The 18,023-nt window shown below is 35.9% G+C and overlaps 1 protein-coding gene across 8 annotated transcripts in view; it reads left to right on the top strand.

The window, feature by feature from the left end:
* Positions 1-18,023, top strand: part of ABCA8 (ATP binding cassette subfamily A member 8) — an 88,104-nt gene that overhangs the window by 40,934 nt on the left and 29,147 nt on the right. For all 8 annotated transcript variants that reach the window (NM_001375771.1, NM_001375772.1, NM_007168.4 and 5 more), the window contains 4 exons: positions 6,580-6,719; positions 8,296-8,415; positions 10,960-11,158; positions 11,580-11,746. In NM_001375771.1, coding sequence (NP_001362700.1) covers positions 6,580-6,719; positions 8,296-8,415; positions 10,960-11,158; positions 11,580-11,746 — 626 coding nt within the window. The remainder of the gene's footprint in view (positions 1-6,579; positions 6,720-8,295; positions 8,416-10,959; positions 11,159-11,579; positions 11,747-18,023) is intronic.

Below are 18,023 nucleotides of genomic sequence, written 5' to 3'. Positions count from 1 at the left end.
TGTAACCTGCAACTTTACTGACTTTGTTTATCAGTTCTAATAGCATTTTGGTGTAGTTTTTAGGATTTTTCAAATATAAGATCATATCATTTGCCCACAAGGATGATTTTATTTCTTCCTTTCCATTTTGGATGCCATTTTTTTCTGCCTCTTATCTGATTGCCACAGCTAGGACTTCCAGTACTATGTTGAATAACAATGGTGAAAGTGGGCATCATTGTTGTGTTCCAGATCTTAGAAAAAAGGCTTTCCCCCATTGAGTATGATACTATCTGTAGGTTTGCCATATATGGCTTTTATTTTGTTGAGACATGTTCCTTCTACACCTAGATTTTTGAGGGTTTTATCATGAAGAGATGTTGAATTTTATCAATTGCTTTTTCAGCATCAGTTGAAGTGATCATATCTTTTTTGCCCTTTATTCTGTTGGTATGATGTATCACATTGATTTCCATGCATTGAACCATCCTTGAATCTCTGGGATAAATCCAACCATGACCAAGATGAATGATTTTTTAATGTGTTGTTGAATTCGGTTTGCTAGTATTTTGATGAGGATTTTCACATCAATATTCCAGTCATATCTGGCCTCATAGAATGAGTTTCAAAGTATCCTCTCCTCCTCTATTTTTCAGAATAATTTTGAATAGGATTGGTATTAGTTATTCTTTAAGTATTTGGTAGAATTCAGCAGTGAATTCTCTGCTGAAAGACTTTTTATTATGGCTTTAATCTTGTTGGTTGTTATTGGTATGTTCAGGTTTTGGATTTCTTCACGGTTCAATCTTGGTAGATTGTACGTGTCTAGGAATTTGTCCATTTCTTCTAGGTTTTCTAATTTATTGACATACAGTTGCTCATAGTAGCCACTAAATATCATTTGAATTTCTGCAGTATCAGTTGTTATTTCTCCTATTTATCTCTGATTTTATTTATTTTTGTCTTTCTCTTTTTTTTCTTTTTTTTAGTCTGGCTAAAAGTTTGTCCATTTTGTTTAACTTTTCAAATTTTTCAACTTTTTGTATTGTTTATTTCATTTCAATTTTATTTATTTCTGCTCTGATGTTTATTATTTCTTTTATTCTACGACTTTTGGTTTTGGTTTGCTCTTGCTTCTCTAGTTTTTAAGAAGTGTCGTTAGGTTGTTTGTTTGAAGTTTTTCTCTTTTTGATGTAAGCACTTATTGCTATAAATTCTCCATTTAGTAATGCTTCCACCGTATTCCATAGGTTTTGGCATGTTGTGTTTCCATTTTCATTTGTTTCAATAAATTTTTCAATTTCCTTCTTAATTTCTTCCTTGACACACTGGTCATTCTAACACATATTATTTAATTTCCATGTGTTTGTATAGTTTCCAAAGTTCCTCTTGTATTGATTTCTAGTTTTATTCTATTGTGGTCAGAGAAGCTATTTGGTATAATTTCAATTTGAAAAAAAAATTTAAGTCTTGTTTTGTGGCTAGCATATCGTGTATCCTTGAGAATGATCCATGTGCTGAGGAGACGACTGTGTATTCTGCAGCCATTGCATAAAATGTTCTATAAATATTTATTGGGTCCATTTGATCTATAGTGCACATTAAGTCCAATGTTTTTGATTTTCTGTCTGGATCATCTGTCCAGTGCTGAAAGTAGTGTGTTGAAGTCTCCAGCTATTATTATTGTATTGGGTCTCTCTCTCTCTCTCTGTCTTTAGCCTTAATAACATTTGCATTACATATCTGGGTGCTCCAGTGTTGGGTGCATATATATTTACAATTGTTATATCTTCTTGCTGAATTGACCCTTTTATCATTATATAGTGACATTCTTTTTCTCTTTCTATGGTTTTTGTCTTGGAATTCATTTTGTCTAATATAAAGATATCTATTTCTGCTCTTTTCTGTTTTCTATTTGCATGGAATGTTCTCTGTTATTATCCCTTGAATAAACTTTCTATCTTTATCTCTTTCTTTATCTCCTCCTTAAGGCCAATGACTCTTATACTTGTCCTTTGGAGGCTCTTTTTTAGATCTTGTAGGCATGCTTCATTCTTTTTCAATTCTTTTGTGTTTTGTCTCTTCTGAGTATTTTCAAATAGCCTGTCTTCAAGCTCATTGATTCTTCTGCTTGAGAGACTTTGATACATTCTTCAGTATGTCAGTTGATATTTTAGCTCCAGAATTTCCGCTTGATTTTTAAACATTATTTCAATCTCTTTGTTAAATTTATCTGATAAGATTCTGAGTCCCTTCTCTGTGTTATCTTAAATTTATTTGAACTTCCTCAAAACAACTATTTTGAATTATCTGTCTGAAAAGTCACATATCTTTGTCACTCTGGTATTGGTCCCTGGTACCTTATTTAGTCATTTGGTGAGGTCATGTTTTTTTGGATAGTCTTGATGCTTGTGGATGTTCATCAGTGTCTGGGCATTGAGGAGTTAGGTATTTAATGTAGTCTTCACAGTCTGGGCTTGTTTGTACCCATCCTTCTTGGGAAGGCTTTCCAAGTATTCAAAGGGAATAGAATGTTATGGTCTAAGTCTTTGGTCACTGCAGCTGTATCAGCACTAGGGGGCACCCTCAAATCCAGTAACATGGTGATTCTTGCAGACTCTTCGACGTACCACTTTGGTGCTCTTGGAGAATACTTTGGATTACCAGGCAGAGATGCTTGTTCCCTTCCCTTATCTTTCTCCAAATGGAGTGTGTGTGTGTGTGTGTGTGTGTGTGTGTGTGTGTATTGAGCTGTCTGGAGCTGGCAGAGGGGTGACACAAGCACCCCTGTGGCCACCACCACTAGGATTATGCTGGGTCAGATCTAAAGCCAATACAGCACTGGGTCTTTCCCAAGACCCGCAGCGACCACTGCCTGGCTACCGCCAATGTTCACTCTAAGCCCAAGGGCTCTTCAGGCAGCAGGTGGCAAATACAGCCAGGCCTGTGTCCTTCCCTTTATGGTGGCAAGCTTCCCACTGGCCCAGGGTGGGTCCAGAAATGCCTTCTGGGAGGAAGGACCTGGAGTCAGAAATCTTAGGAATCTACATGGCACTGTATTCTGCTGCAGCTGAGCTGACACCCAAACCAGAAGACAAAGTCTTCCCACTCTTCCCTCTCCTCAAGGAGAAGGAGTCTCTCCCCCTAGTCACCACTGCCCCAGGCCTGCAGCGAGTACTGCCTGGCTACCACTGATGTTCACTCAAGGCCCAAGGGACTTCAGGCAGCTTGTAGTACATGCTGCCAGGCCTGGGTAGCAGCTCCCTTCAGGGCAATGGGCTCCCCTCTGGCCTGGGGCAAGTCCAGATCCAGGAGCCAAGGCCTAGAATCCAGGACCCCAGGAGTCCGCTTGGTGCTCTCTACTCCACTGTAGCTAAGCTGGTACCTAAGCTGCAAGACAAAGTCCCCTTTACTCTTCCCTCTCTTTTCCTCAGGCAGAAAGTCTCTCCCCACAGCCATCACAGCTGGGAATGTGCTAGGTCAAACCTGAAGCCAGCAGAGCACTGGGCCTCACCCAAGGCCTGTGGCAAGTACTGCCTGGCTACTCCTGGTGTTTATTCAAGGCCCAAAAGTTCTTTAGTCAGGAGGTGATGAATTCTGCCAGAACTGGGTCTTTTTCTTCAAGGCAGCAGGTGCCCTTCTGGCCTAGGGTATGTCTAAAAATGTCATCTGGGAGCAAGGGCCTGGAATGGGGTCCTCAGAACTCTGCCTGGTGTCCTATTCTGCTGTGGCTGAGCTTGTATGCAAGTTGGAAAACAAAATCCTATTTACTCCTCTCTCCTCTCCTCAACAGAAGGAGGGAGTCTCTCCTGGAACAGCGAGCTGCACTGTCTGGTGTTGGGGGAGGGGGTGAAACAGGCACTCCCTTGGCTGCTCCAGCTGGTGTCTCTCGAGGTCTTTTGCACCCCAAGTCCATTGGCTTTGAGCCCAGAACAGCATCAGGACTTGCCCAGGAATTTCAGTCCCTGTGGTCCTACGTTTATTTAGATCCCCAGAGCACTTTAGTCCATGGTAGTGGGATGAATGCTTCCCCTCTGGCTAAGGCTGGTCTAAATGCTCCCTCTGTGGGCAGTGGCCGAATTCTGCCCTACGTTGCTTGTCACTGTGACAGGCAACACTGAGTTCCAATGCAAAGTCCCACAATGACTGTCCTCTCCCTCCCCCAAGCATACAACATTCTCTCTCTGTGCCACACAGCTGCTGCCAAGGATGGGAAGTTGTGTCAGCAATTCAAGACTGTCTTTCCTATCCTCTCCAGTGCTTCTTTCCTTATATGATGTTAAAACCACTATCATTGCTCACCTGATTTTTTTGTTCTTATGAAGGTGCTTCCTTGTGTGGACAGTTGTTCAATTTGGTGTTCCTGGGGGATGGGAAGATTTCTGGAGGGTTCTATCTGGCCACCTTGCTCTACCTCCCCTCCTAAATCTTCTATTGTTTAAAATAGAAGTGTTGTTACTTTTATTTTACAGATGAAATTACAGACTCCCTAGATTAAGAAGTGCTGGAATCAGAAATTGAACCTGAATATTTTTAAATTCTAAATCTAGTAGTCAAATCCATATTTTAAACTACTGTTTTTGTTACATGATTGGTCGTTTTTGTAAATTTATACCATCTATACTTAAGAAAGAAAACAAACCTATCATGACAACAATACAAAGAAAATAGGATGACAGTTTCCTTAACTCATCTGCACTTGTTTAAGTCCTAGAAAGTTATTTGAAAAATATCTCATGTAGATATTTTTCCAGTTCTGTGTAATGTCCCAATTTTTTTTTATTTCTTATAGCACTTTGTTTGCATCTCTTCTTGGAAATTAATTAAACTATCTGAAAGTCAGTGTTTCCACCTACAAAGTGAGAGTAGCAATTCCTACTTACAAGTAAAGGTTATAGAAAAATAAATAAGAGACTGCCTGGCACACTGCATGGAAACATAACATGTTTTCAAAATAAAAAGTGCTAGTCAGGATCCCTGCCCAATTTGCGAGTCCATTCATGGACTCCTATTTGTGCAATTGCCTTATTTTCTTCTAATCTAAGGGCCAACAAATTATAGCTCATGAGCCACATCCAGCCTACTTCCTCTTTCTGTAAATACAGTTTGGTTGGAGCCCAGTCATGCCCTTTCTTTTACACACTGCTCTGGCTGTCTCCATGTTACAACAGCAGAGTGGAAGAGTTTCAACAGAGTTCTAACAGCCTACAAAGCCTAGAAAATTTACTATCTAGTACACATTTTACAGAAAAAGTTTTACAACCTCCCCTTTCAAGCTTCAAGTTCCTCAAGGAATGACTTTCTGCATGACTCATTCATTCCGCCCCAGCACTCAGCACAAGTTCCTACAAGTGGCCAAGGAATAATTCTTAAATTGTTTTCATTTCAGGAGTCAGCATCATGGAAAACAGCTACGACATTTTTTGCTTCACTCTTCCAGTGGATTTCACTACTTCTAAAAAAATAGCATATATTCTTTTAAGTTCATACATGACTTATGTGTCAGTGGAATAATTTTTGACTTATGCATTTGGTCAAATAAAATTGCTACCATTTTTAAGGGCTTGTCAAGTGCAAACTTCACTATTATTCCATTGTTCGAATAACCCTAGAGGCTGGGAATCATTATTCCAGTTTTCTAATAAAGTAACTGTTTAGATAAGTTAAATAACACGTTCCAGATGCTAAAACAATATTTCAAAGCCAAGTCACTACTGATATTTTGCCCACTGTATAATTTATAACCTCAATTAATAGAATATTGTGTTTGTCTGTTTCTCTATAATGGAGAAATAGCTGTGGTATTTTTCAATGGATAGACTGATTTTCTCAATGATACTTTGTTCTTATTCAAAGTTCTGGGCTTAGCATTACAAGAAAAGCAAACCACATTCATCCATTATTAGTTTCTATCTATAATCCAGTTTCCTTCATAGCACTTACTACTATTGATAATTATTTTACTCATCTGGTTGTCTACATGTTTTCTTCCTGACGCCCGCACTAGACAATGAACTCCATAAGAGCAGAATAATGCTGCTTTAGTCACCATTGTATCCTCAACACTAAGTATGATGTTTGTCACATACTAAGAACTTAGTAAATTTGCATTGGATGACTACATTGAGTAACTGAAACTGTTTGGCATCTATACTTCTCACAAGTCTCTTGTTCCTTTGAAGCGATACAACAATTCTATTTAGTCAGCTTAAAACTGAACCTTCAACTGCAACGTTATCCATTTTGCATAGTCCTGACCTTTGCTGTACTGCAACCCTGGTATTTTCCACTCTGTGACCACCCTCTCTTCAGGAGCTTCAATCAATATGAAACTTCTCTGGGCACTACTCCTGAGTAACCTCACCAGTAACTCTCATTAGCTCATTCTTTTCTTTTGTCCATCACATTTATATGATTTGGCTGGGTTTTTGTCCTCTTATTTCTTGGGTTTTTGTCCTCTTATTTTGTGTTTGTCTGACCTATTTCTGGCATTAGATTTTAATTGATTTTCTTTGTCCTATAGAGACTAGTTAATTATTTTCTTGCTATTGGAGACTATGTCGAGTAACATATGTCTTTTTTTTTTTTTCTGAATGCCAGCTTGCAGTTAAATGAAATATGTGTTGAGGAAAACATAACATCACTTGTTAAACAGCACATCCCTGATGCCAAATTATCAGCCAAAAGCGAAGGAAAACTTATTTATACATTACCCTTAGAAAGAACAAATAAATTTCCAGGTAATGTGCATGAACACTGTGAAATAAAATATGTGAATAATAGTCATCATCATCATAATTATTATCATTACAACTAACATTTATCAATGTCTTACAGTATGCTCAGGTACTGAAACATAATCAAAAGAATAGTACAATAACTGAATTATTTTCTGTATAGTGGGAAATAGAATTACATTCTAATAGTTGTATTGTAATGCCTGGGCATTTTAGAGGGCTTCTTTTAGTCCTTCTTCCCTAGTAGTGTGTAACATAATATTCTAGTATTCATAAATGTACACAAACCCAAATGGTTGAAAACCTCTGGCTTATGCACTACATTAAACAGCCCTGTGATGTGGCTATCTGTCTCGGTGAGACTTTTGCAATAACTTTGGGTTTTTCAGGCTAACGCATAAAAGTTTACTAACTATGTTTGTTGTTCAGGGAACTTGTTCCTTAACAATGGGGCACTATAAGGGCCCACATTAGTGGTTGAAACAATTAACCTTGCTGTATATGTGGTTAACAAAGACATATACATTCATTCAAATACACATTTTATGGTGACAACACAAGCATTCCTTAGAATCATCAGGAAAGTGTTACGCAAATTCTGATTAGTACTTTTTAACAGTAATTATAATTTAAAGAAAATTTGTAGACGTTTTAGGTGGAATGAAGAATGATGCATAATACTCATTATTAGCTTAAATCTTACTTCTTTTCTACCTTTCTGTATGAGGTATTCTAGTCAAGACAAAAAGCTTTTAACCTATCCTTTTGCCCAAGCAGGAGCTCCAGATGGAAGCCTCAGGACTTCTGTAATCACCCTAGTATTAGAATTAGGTTTTTATTTAAGCTTGATTTAACCACTGTAATTCAAATCCATGCAGGCAGGGGCACTGTTCACTGCTTCATGAACAATGACAGATGCGTAAGTATATTTTGGTGAACGAACTAAAGAATGAATAGATATAAAATTGCTAGAGCGAATAATCACTGTCACAATTCCAGGAAAATTCCCTGATTCAGTTCCACATTCTCTGCCTGTTAGGTCTTGTGAATTTTTTCTTCCATTGTTAGAAACAGAAAATTTTTTAATGGTTTATATTCTATGTCTTCTCTTTAACAAATATTTTCTAAACTACAGAAGATTCTACACCATCCAATTAATTCTCAAAAAATTAATTCCTTTCCTTTTGTCAGTTAGAACATAAATGGCTCCCATTTATATCTGTTCTCTAGAAAAGACTTTTCAATTAATTAGGCTTAGAGTTGAAAAACCCAGAGTCTCACAATTAATTAAATTTTAAAAGGAAGTCAGAAAAAACTAAGATTAAACTTTAATAGAAATGCAAATGAATATAAATTAATGTTTGACAAAGTAATATTTGGGTTGTAACACATGATGTAAAATAGAAAATAATATATAGAATTTGCAGAATAAGATGATCTATTATGAAATGTTAATTTTCAAATGTTTTTGACATATCACAAGTATAGTTTCATAGATTTGTGCTTATTAGTTTGAAAAATTGTCTTCAGTTCACTTGTGATTCTTGTTTTAATTCACTGCTGTATATGTATTCTTTAGAACTTTACAAGGATCTTGATAGCTATCCTGACCTAGGAATTGAGAATTATGGTGTTTCCATGACAACTTTGAATGAAGTATTCCTGAAGCTAGAAGGAAAATCTACAATTAATGAATCGGGTAAATAAAATGCATGAAAATTATTATGTAAAAGCACATATTTCAAGAACACACTGTTCCAAAGATGTGATTACAAAATGTGGGGTTCATGATTAAGGCTCTTCTTAGACAAGCTTGTGTAAAAATGAAACGCATCCCTGTCAACATTGCTTTGTAGTTAAAAATAATCCATTTTTCTACATCCAAGGCTCACTGCACTCATATTAGCTCTAGGCTTCTAAGGGCAATTTCAGATAAAACATTTATTCTAAATCATAAATTAATATAAAACATGAACCCACAGATCTAAAACACTTAAGAACCCCAAACAATACTTTAAAATGAAACTATTAAATTCCTGTAGGCCAGCAATAAAGAAGAGAGTCTTAATTAGACATATTGTACTGTTCCACAGATATCAGATTCTCTGGTGTCAGGTTTTTCTTTTTTTTTTCTTTATGTTAGAAATTGGACACTATCTATCCACCTATTTTCAAGGTCACAAATAACTTATTCTCTTGTGTTCAGACTGTTTTGAAGCCGAACATAATAAACTCTCTATTTCTGATACTGCACTTTTTCATTCTAACATTTTCATTTGTTCTTTTTTAGAGTTTCAGTTCTTTACTATTTCTCATCTGCTCTCAATATTGTCCATATTTTCCAGTAGATCTTGTAACATATTTATCATAGTTATTTTTAAACTTGTGTATTTTAATTCTAACATGTGGACCGTGTGACTGATGACCGTTATCAGTAACTGACTCTGATTTTTTTTCCTCTTCCCTATGGGTTATATTTCCCCGCTTCTTCATATGTCTTGAAATTTGTATTTTATCATGGATGTTACTTTAACAAAACAGGAACACTGAGGTAAACAATGGCCAGAAAATGGCATGACTCTTCCTCTGTCAGACTACTGATGTGGATGGCAGAACTGATCTAATTTGTATTTGGCAAGTGCCTGGGCTTTTGCACAGGTTTTATTAGATTCAGTCCACTCCCAGCTTCGAATGTTTTAAAGGTAGAATCAGGTCTTTCCCTTAGACGTGACTTTGAATTATAGCACTGGAAAAATTCTATATATTTCTCTATAGCCCTGCTATCAAATATCTCAATAATGATTAATCTCACTGATTTTCAGCCTGTCATCACTTTTTGTTTATTTATTTGTTAGTATACATCTCTCCACTCCTCATTCAGTGACTGGACCCTAGTGGACTCATGTATTACACAAAAGGAAAGACCCATGAACCCTGATGATGTCTTGCTCAAGACACTATGCAGCTTCTTGTGTTTCTCTCTCCGTTTTTCTGAGTATCTGCCCCCAGCTACTGCTGTACTGTTCCTATGCACTTAGGAAAGGCTCCACGAAAAAAAGTTCGTAGATGCTGTAAACTCGTTTTGTGACTTAGGTACCCCATGATTCTAGTCAGTTATATCAGCCCACATATAATCACAGAATTTTTAAATCTGGGCTGCTTTCTTTTCACCTACCTATGGTGGTTTTCTCCTTTTTCCTTTTTCTGCCATGTCCCTAAAGATGAAAGCTTCCACAGGAATCTTCTCCCCCTAGAAATGTTTCCTTCCTTTATACATGTTAGTTTTTTAGCTTTCTTTGTGCTCTCGCCCATCTGATGGATTAAAAATAACTAATATTTATTCCCTTGGTAAGACAGGTTGACAGTCTCTTGCAACTAACGAGAAGCAGAATATCCCTGAATTATTATTATTATTATTATTATTATTATTATTATTATTATTATTATTATTTCTTTTTTTTGAGATGGAGTCTCGCTCTGTCACCCAGGCTGGAGTGCAGTGGCACGATCTCGGCTCACTGCAAGCTCTGCCTCCCGGGTTCACGCCATTCTCCTGCCTCAGCTTCCCGAGTAGCTGCGACTACAGGTGCCCACCACCACGCCCGGCTAATTTTTTTAATGGACTTTTGACCACTATCTTAAGATCCTTATATCTTCATTCACAGTGTGTTTTGTGTCCTGTCACTGTACTTATACATTTACGGGTGTGTGCTTTTTGAGGTTTGATATTAGGCTTATTTTAGCATTATACAATGGACAGCATCCTGGGTATCCAGAGATTATAGAGAACACACAAATGAATGCAGTCTCAGAAACTATTCAAAACTGAATAGTTTTGAAATCTCTGCAGTAACAATTTATAGCTAACTCCCAGTTTGTAGCTTGCCATTTACAGTTTACTCCCTGTTCAGAGCATGTCAATTTGTAGCTTCATTGAACATGTAAGATATTTGTTTCCTTTACTGACTTTCCATGTCATTTCTAACCACTGTGATGACCTTGCCTATTTATCTTGACCTCTGTAATGTATTGTCTGTATCCAAATTACCTAAGGTCTCCTTTCTATCCCTTTTGTTCAAGAAATAAATATTTCTTCTATTTCTGTATTTTAAGGCAGTAACCAGCAAAACCACGTTATACCTATAGTAACGCGGAAGAGTCTAATCATGAGATGCTTAGCAGAGCCAATCTCTATAGTAAGCTCAATAAAGTACATATGAGTTGCTTATTTTATGTTTTGCAGACATTGCTATTTTGGGAGAAGTACAAGCGGAAAAAGCTGACGACACTGAAAGGCTTGTTGAGATGGAACAAGTCCTCTCTTCACTTAACAAGATGAGAAAGACAATAGGTGGTGTGGCTCTCTGGCGACAGCAAATCTGCGCAATTGCAAGGGTTCGCTTGTTAAAGTTAAAGCATGAAAGAAAAGCTCTTTTAGCACTGTAAGTATCAGAGTTGCCATAGGTTTTCTTTTTAAGTCAATGCGTTAAAAAGCAAATCTAAGGTATAAAGGCAAGCAAAAAAACACAAAGATATGATGAATTAGGCAGCAGAAAGGGAAAGCATCACAGTGGAAGAAGCACAGGAGAGAGGCAGAATCTTGACATCCAAAGGACAAATATTGCATGAAATTTTATGGGATATCCAATGGCCAAAAAGCAACAGGAGAAATGAACAAAGGACAAATCTACGGTTTAACATCTTGAATTTGGAGTTAGTAAAAGGACAAAATACTCAAGAAATGTGACAGTTAATTGTGTTTAATTTTTATAATTTCTTTATCCCATTACATTATAAACTGCTCAGAGAGTATTAGATCAGGAAATGACATTGCATTCATTTTGGCAATTTTCTTTTGTGTAGGCTATTAATTCTAATGGCTGGATTTTGCCCTCTTCTTGTGGAGTATACCATGGTGAAAATATATCAAAACAGTTACACCTGGGAACTTTCTCCTCATTTGTATTTCCTTGCTCCTGGACAACAACCACATGACCCTCTCACTCAACTACTGATCATCAATAAAACAGGTAAAATGGTGGATACTTGATTTCCAAATACATTTACTGTTCAGAGCAGTACTTAGAAAACATAACCATGAGAAAGAAAATAGCTTTTCACTTATTCAGCATGTGTTAAAAAACAATTTATGAAACTTAAAGATAATAAATACAGGCCCCCAAAGAAGCAGGAATAGGTAAAGTATTTTCTAAAGGAGAAACATCTGGTGGCATCTTGCTAAATGAAAGCGTTTGTACCAAAATAGCATTTTTAACAGGTTCATTAAGATATACTTCACAGGCCATACAATTTATCCATTTAAAATGCACAATTCCATGGTTTTCAGTGTATCCACAGAACTGTGAAACCATCAATACAATCCCTTTTAGAATATTTTCATCACCCCATAAAGAAACCCCATACCGAATAGCAATTACTCCCATGTCGTCCCTCCCCCAACTCCTCAGCAATCACAAATTTACATTCTGTTTCTATTGATCTGTCTACTCTGAACATGTAATATCACTGGACTCATACAACATGTGGTATTTGGTGACTGACTTCTTTCGCTTAGCATGTTTTCAAAGTTGATCTATGTTGTAGCATTTATCTATGTATCAATACTTCATTTTTATTGTTGAGTAATATTTTATTGATGGTTATACCACAATTTATTTATCATTCATCAGCAGATGGATATATTTTTTCCCAATAATTGGATATTACGAAAAATGCTGCTACAGATGTTCATGTACAAGTTTTTGTTTGAACATATGTTTTCATTTCTCTGGGGTGTAATCCTAAAAGTAGAATTGTTGGGTCACGTGGTAACTATGTTTACCCTTTGAAGGACCTGCCAGACTGTTTTTCAAAGTGACTGTACCACTTTATATTCACACCAGAAATTTTTGTGGGGTTTTTTTTTTTTTTTTTGAGATGGAATCTCGCTCTGTGTCACCAGGCTGGAGACCAGTGGCACAATTTCGGCTCACTGCAACCTCCGCCTCCCAGATTCAAGCGATTCTCCTGCGTCAGCCTACCAAGTAGCTGGGACTACAGGAGCTTGCCACCACAGCCAGCTAATTTTTTTGTATTTTTGGTAGAGACGGGGTTTCACCATGTTGGCCAGGATGGTCTTGATCTCTTGACCTCGTGATCCGCCCGCCTCAGCCTCCCAAAGTGTTGGGATTACAGGCGTGAGCCACCGCGCCCGGCCTCACATCAGCAATTTTTGAGGATTCCAGTTTCTACGTATGCTTGCCAACACTTATTTTTTGTTTTTTCTATTACATGCATCATCGTGTATGTCAAGTAGTATCTTGTGATTTTGATTTGTATTTTGTTAATGGCCAGTAACGTTGAGCATCTTTTCGTGTGATAACTCGTCAATTGTACACCTTCTTTGTAGAAATGTCTGTTTTCTTTTGAAAAAATGGATTGTATTTTTAATTGAGTTCTAAGTGTTATGATAAAAATTCTTTTATCAGATACAGTAGGTGCTCATATTCAGATTCTGTATCTAAGAATTTGCCTATTCACTGAAATTTATTGGTAACCCCCAATTACATATCTGTTGCATTTCATGATATTTACAGATATGCTCAGAGAAGTGAACATTTTTAGTCACCTGATGTACACATTTTCAACTGAGATTGAACAAAATAACACTGCTTTCTTGTTTTAGCTCTCATACTGTAAACAAATGCCTTTTTGCAATCTATTTCATGCCACATTTTTCACATTTTTATGTTTTTTTGTGATGATTTTGCTGTTTAAAATGACACAAAGAATACTGCTGAAGTGTCATTTAGTGTTTCTAAATGCAAGAAGGCTGTGACATGTCTTTTTCTAGTTTTTTTTTGTTTTAGGGTTGTCATTATGAACAGATGTTGGATTTGTCAAATGTTTTCTCTGTGTCTACTGAGATGATCATGTGGGTTTTATACCATATTATTTTCAGACATTAAACCAACCTTGCATTTATAGGATAAATCATACTTGGTCATGGTGTATAATCCTTTCCATTTTCTCCCAGATTTGATTTTCTAGGGTTTTGTTGATAATGTTTTCCATCTCTATTCATAAGGGATATTGGTCTGTAGTTTTATTTTATGCTAATGTCTTTAGATATCAGGGTAATACTTGCTGCATATAATAAGTTGGCAAATGTTCCCTGCACTTCTTTTTTTTTTTTTTTTTTTTTGAGACTTTGTGAAGGATTGACAATTTTTGTTTATTAGGTAGAAATGTACTAGTGTAGCTATCTGGGTGAGGGATTTTCTTTATGGGAAGTTTTGTAATTAGCAATTTGATCTCTTAATTGTTACAGGTCTCCTTACATTTTATATTTCTTCTTGTATCAGTTTAATAGTTTCTGTCTTTCCAGGAATTTTTCCATTATACTATATTATCTAATTTGTTGTTACACAAACATATTCCATTTTAATCCTTTTAATCTGTAAGACTGGTATTCATGCCCTCTTTTTGTTCCTGATCTTAGTAATTTTCATGTTATTTTATTTTTCTTGGTCATCCTAGCTAAGGGTTCCTCAATTTTGTTGATGCTTTCAAGGAACCAACTTCTAGCTTAACTGTCTCTATTGTTTTTCTATTGTCTATGTCACTCATTTCCAAACCAATATTCTTGGTTTCATTTCTTTCTGTTTGCCTTGTGTTTAGCTTGTTCCTCTCTTTTCAGTGTCTTAACACAGAAGTTTCACTCACTGGTTTGAGATTTTTCTTCTTTTATTTAACATAGGTGTTTACAGCTATAAACGTCCCTCTAAGCTATGCTTTCGCTGCATAGCATAAGTTTCGGTATATCATGTTTTAATTTTCATTTATCTCAAAATATTTTCTAATTTCCCTTGTGATTTCTTTTCTGACTCATTGGTTATTTAGGAGTAGACTATTTAGTTTCCAAAAATTTGTGATTTTCTAAGTTTTTGTTGTTGAATTCTAAATTCATCCCTTGTGGTCAGAGATCATAGTTTATAAAATTTCAACCGTTTTGGATGTGTTGAGGCTTGTTTGATGTCCTTGCCTTTAGCTCATCTTGGAGAATGTTCCTTGTGCACTTGAGAAGAATGTGCATTCTGCTGTTGTGGGTGAAAATTTGTATATTTCACTTTTCAGTGCTATTTTGTATTTCGAGTCTCTCTTAAGTGTATATACGTTTATAAATGTTATAACTTCCTGCTGTTTTGACCCTTGTATCATTAGAAAATGTCTCTTATGCTTTCTAGTAACATTTTTTGTTTTCATCTATTTTGTCTGATATTAGAAGAGCCACTCCAGTTTTCCCATGGTTTTATCTTGCATGATGTATTGTTCCACCTTCTGCTTTCAATTTGTATCAATGAAATTTAATATGTGTCTCCTGTAAATTTAATTTGATATGTGTCTCCTATAAACAGTATATAGTTGGATAGTGTTTTTAAATACAATCTAACAATCTATGCCTTTTGAGTGTATTATTTTATTCACAAATCATATTTTTACTAATAATGTAGGATTTGTATCTGCCAGTTTATTGTTTGTTTTCTGAATGTCTCATGTCTTTTTTGTTCCTCTATTTCTTCTTTACTGTTTTCTTTGGCATTGAATATCTTCTAGTTTAATGATTTAATTATTTTAACGATTTTTTATTATATTTTTGAATTATGTTCTTGGTGATTGTTTTTGGGCCTAGAATGTACATCTTATTTTAATCTACTTAAAGTTTACACAGATTTAAGATTAATGTAACAAAGTCTACAAATATGTACTTACTCTCCTTTCTTCTCTCAGCTTCTTTAAAAGATATGAAATCATACTGAGTAATAATTGTACCAATGTATTGCTGGTTTAAAAACATATAGATGTGATATGTGTAATAATAACATCAAAATGGGGAAGAGTGAATACAGCTATATCAGAGGAAAGAGTCTGTAGCTCATTGAAATTTTTATTTACCATTTCTTGTTCTCTTCATTTGTTCCTGTGAATTCATATTATCATCTTATGTGATGTCCTTACTCCAATACAGCTAGGCTTCCACCTGCCTCCTTTGTGCCATTGTTTTCAAATATTTTACATGTCTATGTTTTACGCCTCAACAATAAAATTATATACATACTGCATTATACATTTGCTTTTAAAATGAGTTAATACAAGAGAGGGAAAAATACGCATTATACTACCAATTATAAGTACATAGTTGTGTTTGCTGATCCTCTTTGGCCTTTTCACTTGGATTCAAATTGCCATCTGGGGTTATTTGCTTTCAGTTTTAAGTATTTCTTATAAGGCAAGTCTGCTATAACAAATTCTTCATTTTTGTTTATCTTGGAAAAAAGTTCTATTCTACCTTCATCATTTTTTATTCTTTATTATTTTTATTTTTATAGATTTACAGGATAAAAGTACAGTTTTGCTACATGGATATATTGTGTAGTGGTGAAGTCTGGGCTTTTGGTGTAACCATCACTCAAACAGTGTACATCATACCTATTACCACCTTCATCTTTGAAAGCTAGTTTTGCTAAATATAAAATACTTGGCTGAATTTTTTTCAGTACTTTGAATATGTCATTTTACTGTGTTCTGGCTTCCTTTGTTTCTGATGAGAAATCAGCTGGGTTCTTATTGGTGTTTCCTTACACATCACCAAGGAAACATTCTCTTTGCCTTTGTCCTCACCATTTTTACTCTGATGTGTCTGGGTTTGGATCTCTTTGCATACATCCCACGTGGAGTTGGTTGAACTTCTTGGATGTATAAAGTTTTTAATTAAATTTGGTAAGTTTTCAGTCATTATTTCTTCAGTGGTTGTTTTTCTCTTCTTTTATCTCTCTCCTCTCCTTCTGTAACTTCCATTGCATATGAAATAATGTGATTAATAATGTCCCACATTTTTCTGAGGTTCTGTTTTTTTATTGTTGTTGTTCTTCAGGTTGCATAATCCCATTTAATATATCTTCAGGTCTGCTAATTCTTTCTGCTGATCATTCAAATCTACTGTTGAGCTCCTTCAGTGAATTTTTCATTTCAATTATTGTACTTTCAACTCCAGAATTTCTATTTGGTTCTTTATTACTTGAAATAACTTTTTATTGGTATAATCTGTTTGGTGAGACATTGTCATCATACCTTTCTTCACTTCTCTAAACATGCTTTCTTTTAGTTTTTTGAGCATACTTACAATACCTGCCTTGAAGTCTTTGTTTTTTAGGTTTGCTATCTCAGCCTTCCAAAGGCAGTTCTTGTTGCCTACTTTTCTTCCTGTATAAGAGTGACACTTTCTTATTTTTTAGCATGTCTCATAATTTTGGTTGAAAACTGGACATTTAAAGTAATAGATTGTAACAACTTTGAATAATGACCCCCAGCTTGTCTTGAAGCTTGTGATTATTGTTTACTCATTTCCCCTGCTTTATACAACTCTGATGCCATTCTTCAGAGGCATAACTTTGGCCATGTGCATTATTCCCCTGAGATGGCAATAGATTTAGCAGACCTTTCTTTGTCTCTTTTCCTGACCTCTCCATTACACTGGCTAACTCTACTGGTATCACATTCAGTTGTTAGGCACCACCAGTAGCAAGCTGATTGGCCTATTGTTTTCAAAAATGCCCATATGCATAAGTTGCTCCACAGTTTGATCCAATTACAGTAATTCCCTCTCATCTGAAACATTACAAGATCCCCAGCAGATGCCTGAAACCACAGATAGTACCAAACTAATGGCCATCCATAAGAACACGTTTCTGTTCATGTTTTTTATCCACAAATTTATCGCCTTTTCCATCTTAACTAAGCACTTATCATGCACTATGGCTATAACTTCTACAGTTTGAGGTGCAACAGCAAGACTAGCATGAGTTTCTTTTTTCTTCTTCACAATTTACAGAAGAGATTTGCTCTCAGAGTAGATCTTAACAACCTCAGCATACAATTTTTTTATTGTTTCCTTATTAAGTCAATAACTTTCACCTTTCCACTTAAAGGAAGCAATATATGGCTTCTCTTTGACATATCCAAATTGCCAGCATTACTCCTCTTGTGCTTTGGGGCCACTATTAAGTAAAATCAGGGTTAACTGAACACAAGCACTGTGATGTCTTGACAGTCGATCTGATAACGGAGGTGGCGACTAAGTAACTAATGAGTAGGTAGCATATGCAGTGTGGACACAGAAGACAAGGGGCTGATTCACATCCTGCACAGGACAGAGTGGACGATACGAGATTTCATCCATCTGCTCAGAATACCATGCGATTTAAAACTTATACAATGTTTATTTCTGGAATTTTTCATTTTGTATTT

The sequence above is a fragment of the Homo sapiens genome, chromosome 17, assembly GCF_000001405.40.
Source record: "Homo sapiens chromosome 17, GRCh38.p14 Primary Assembly".
Classification (NCBI taxonomy): Eukaryota; Metazoa; Chordata; class Mammalia; order Primates; family Hominidae; genus Homo; species Homo sapiens.
Note: the sequence above shows the minus strand (reverse complement) of the source record. Positions and strands in the feature narration are given on the sequence as shown.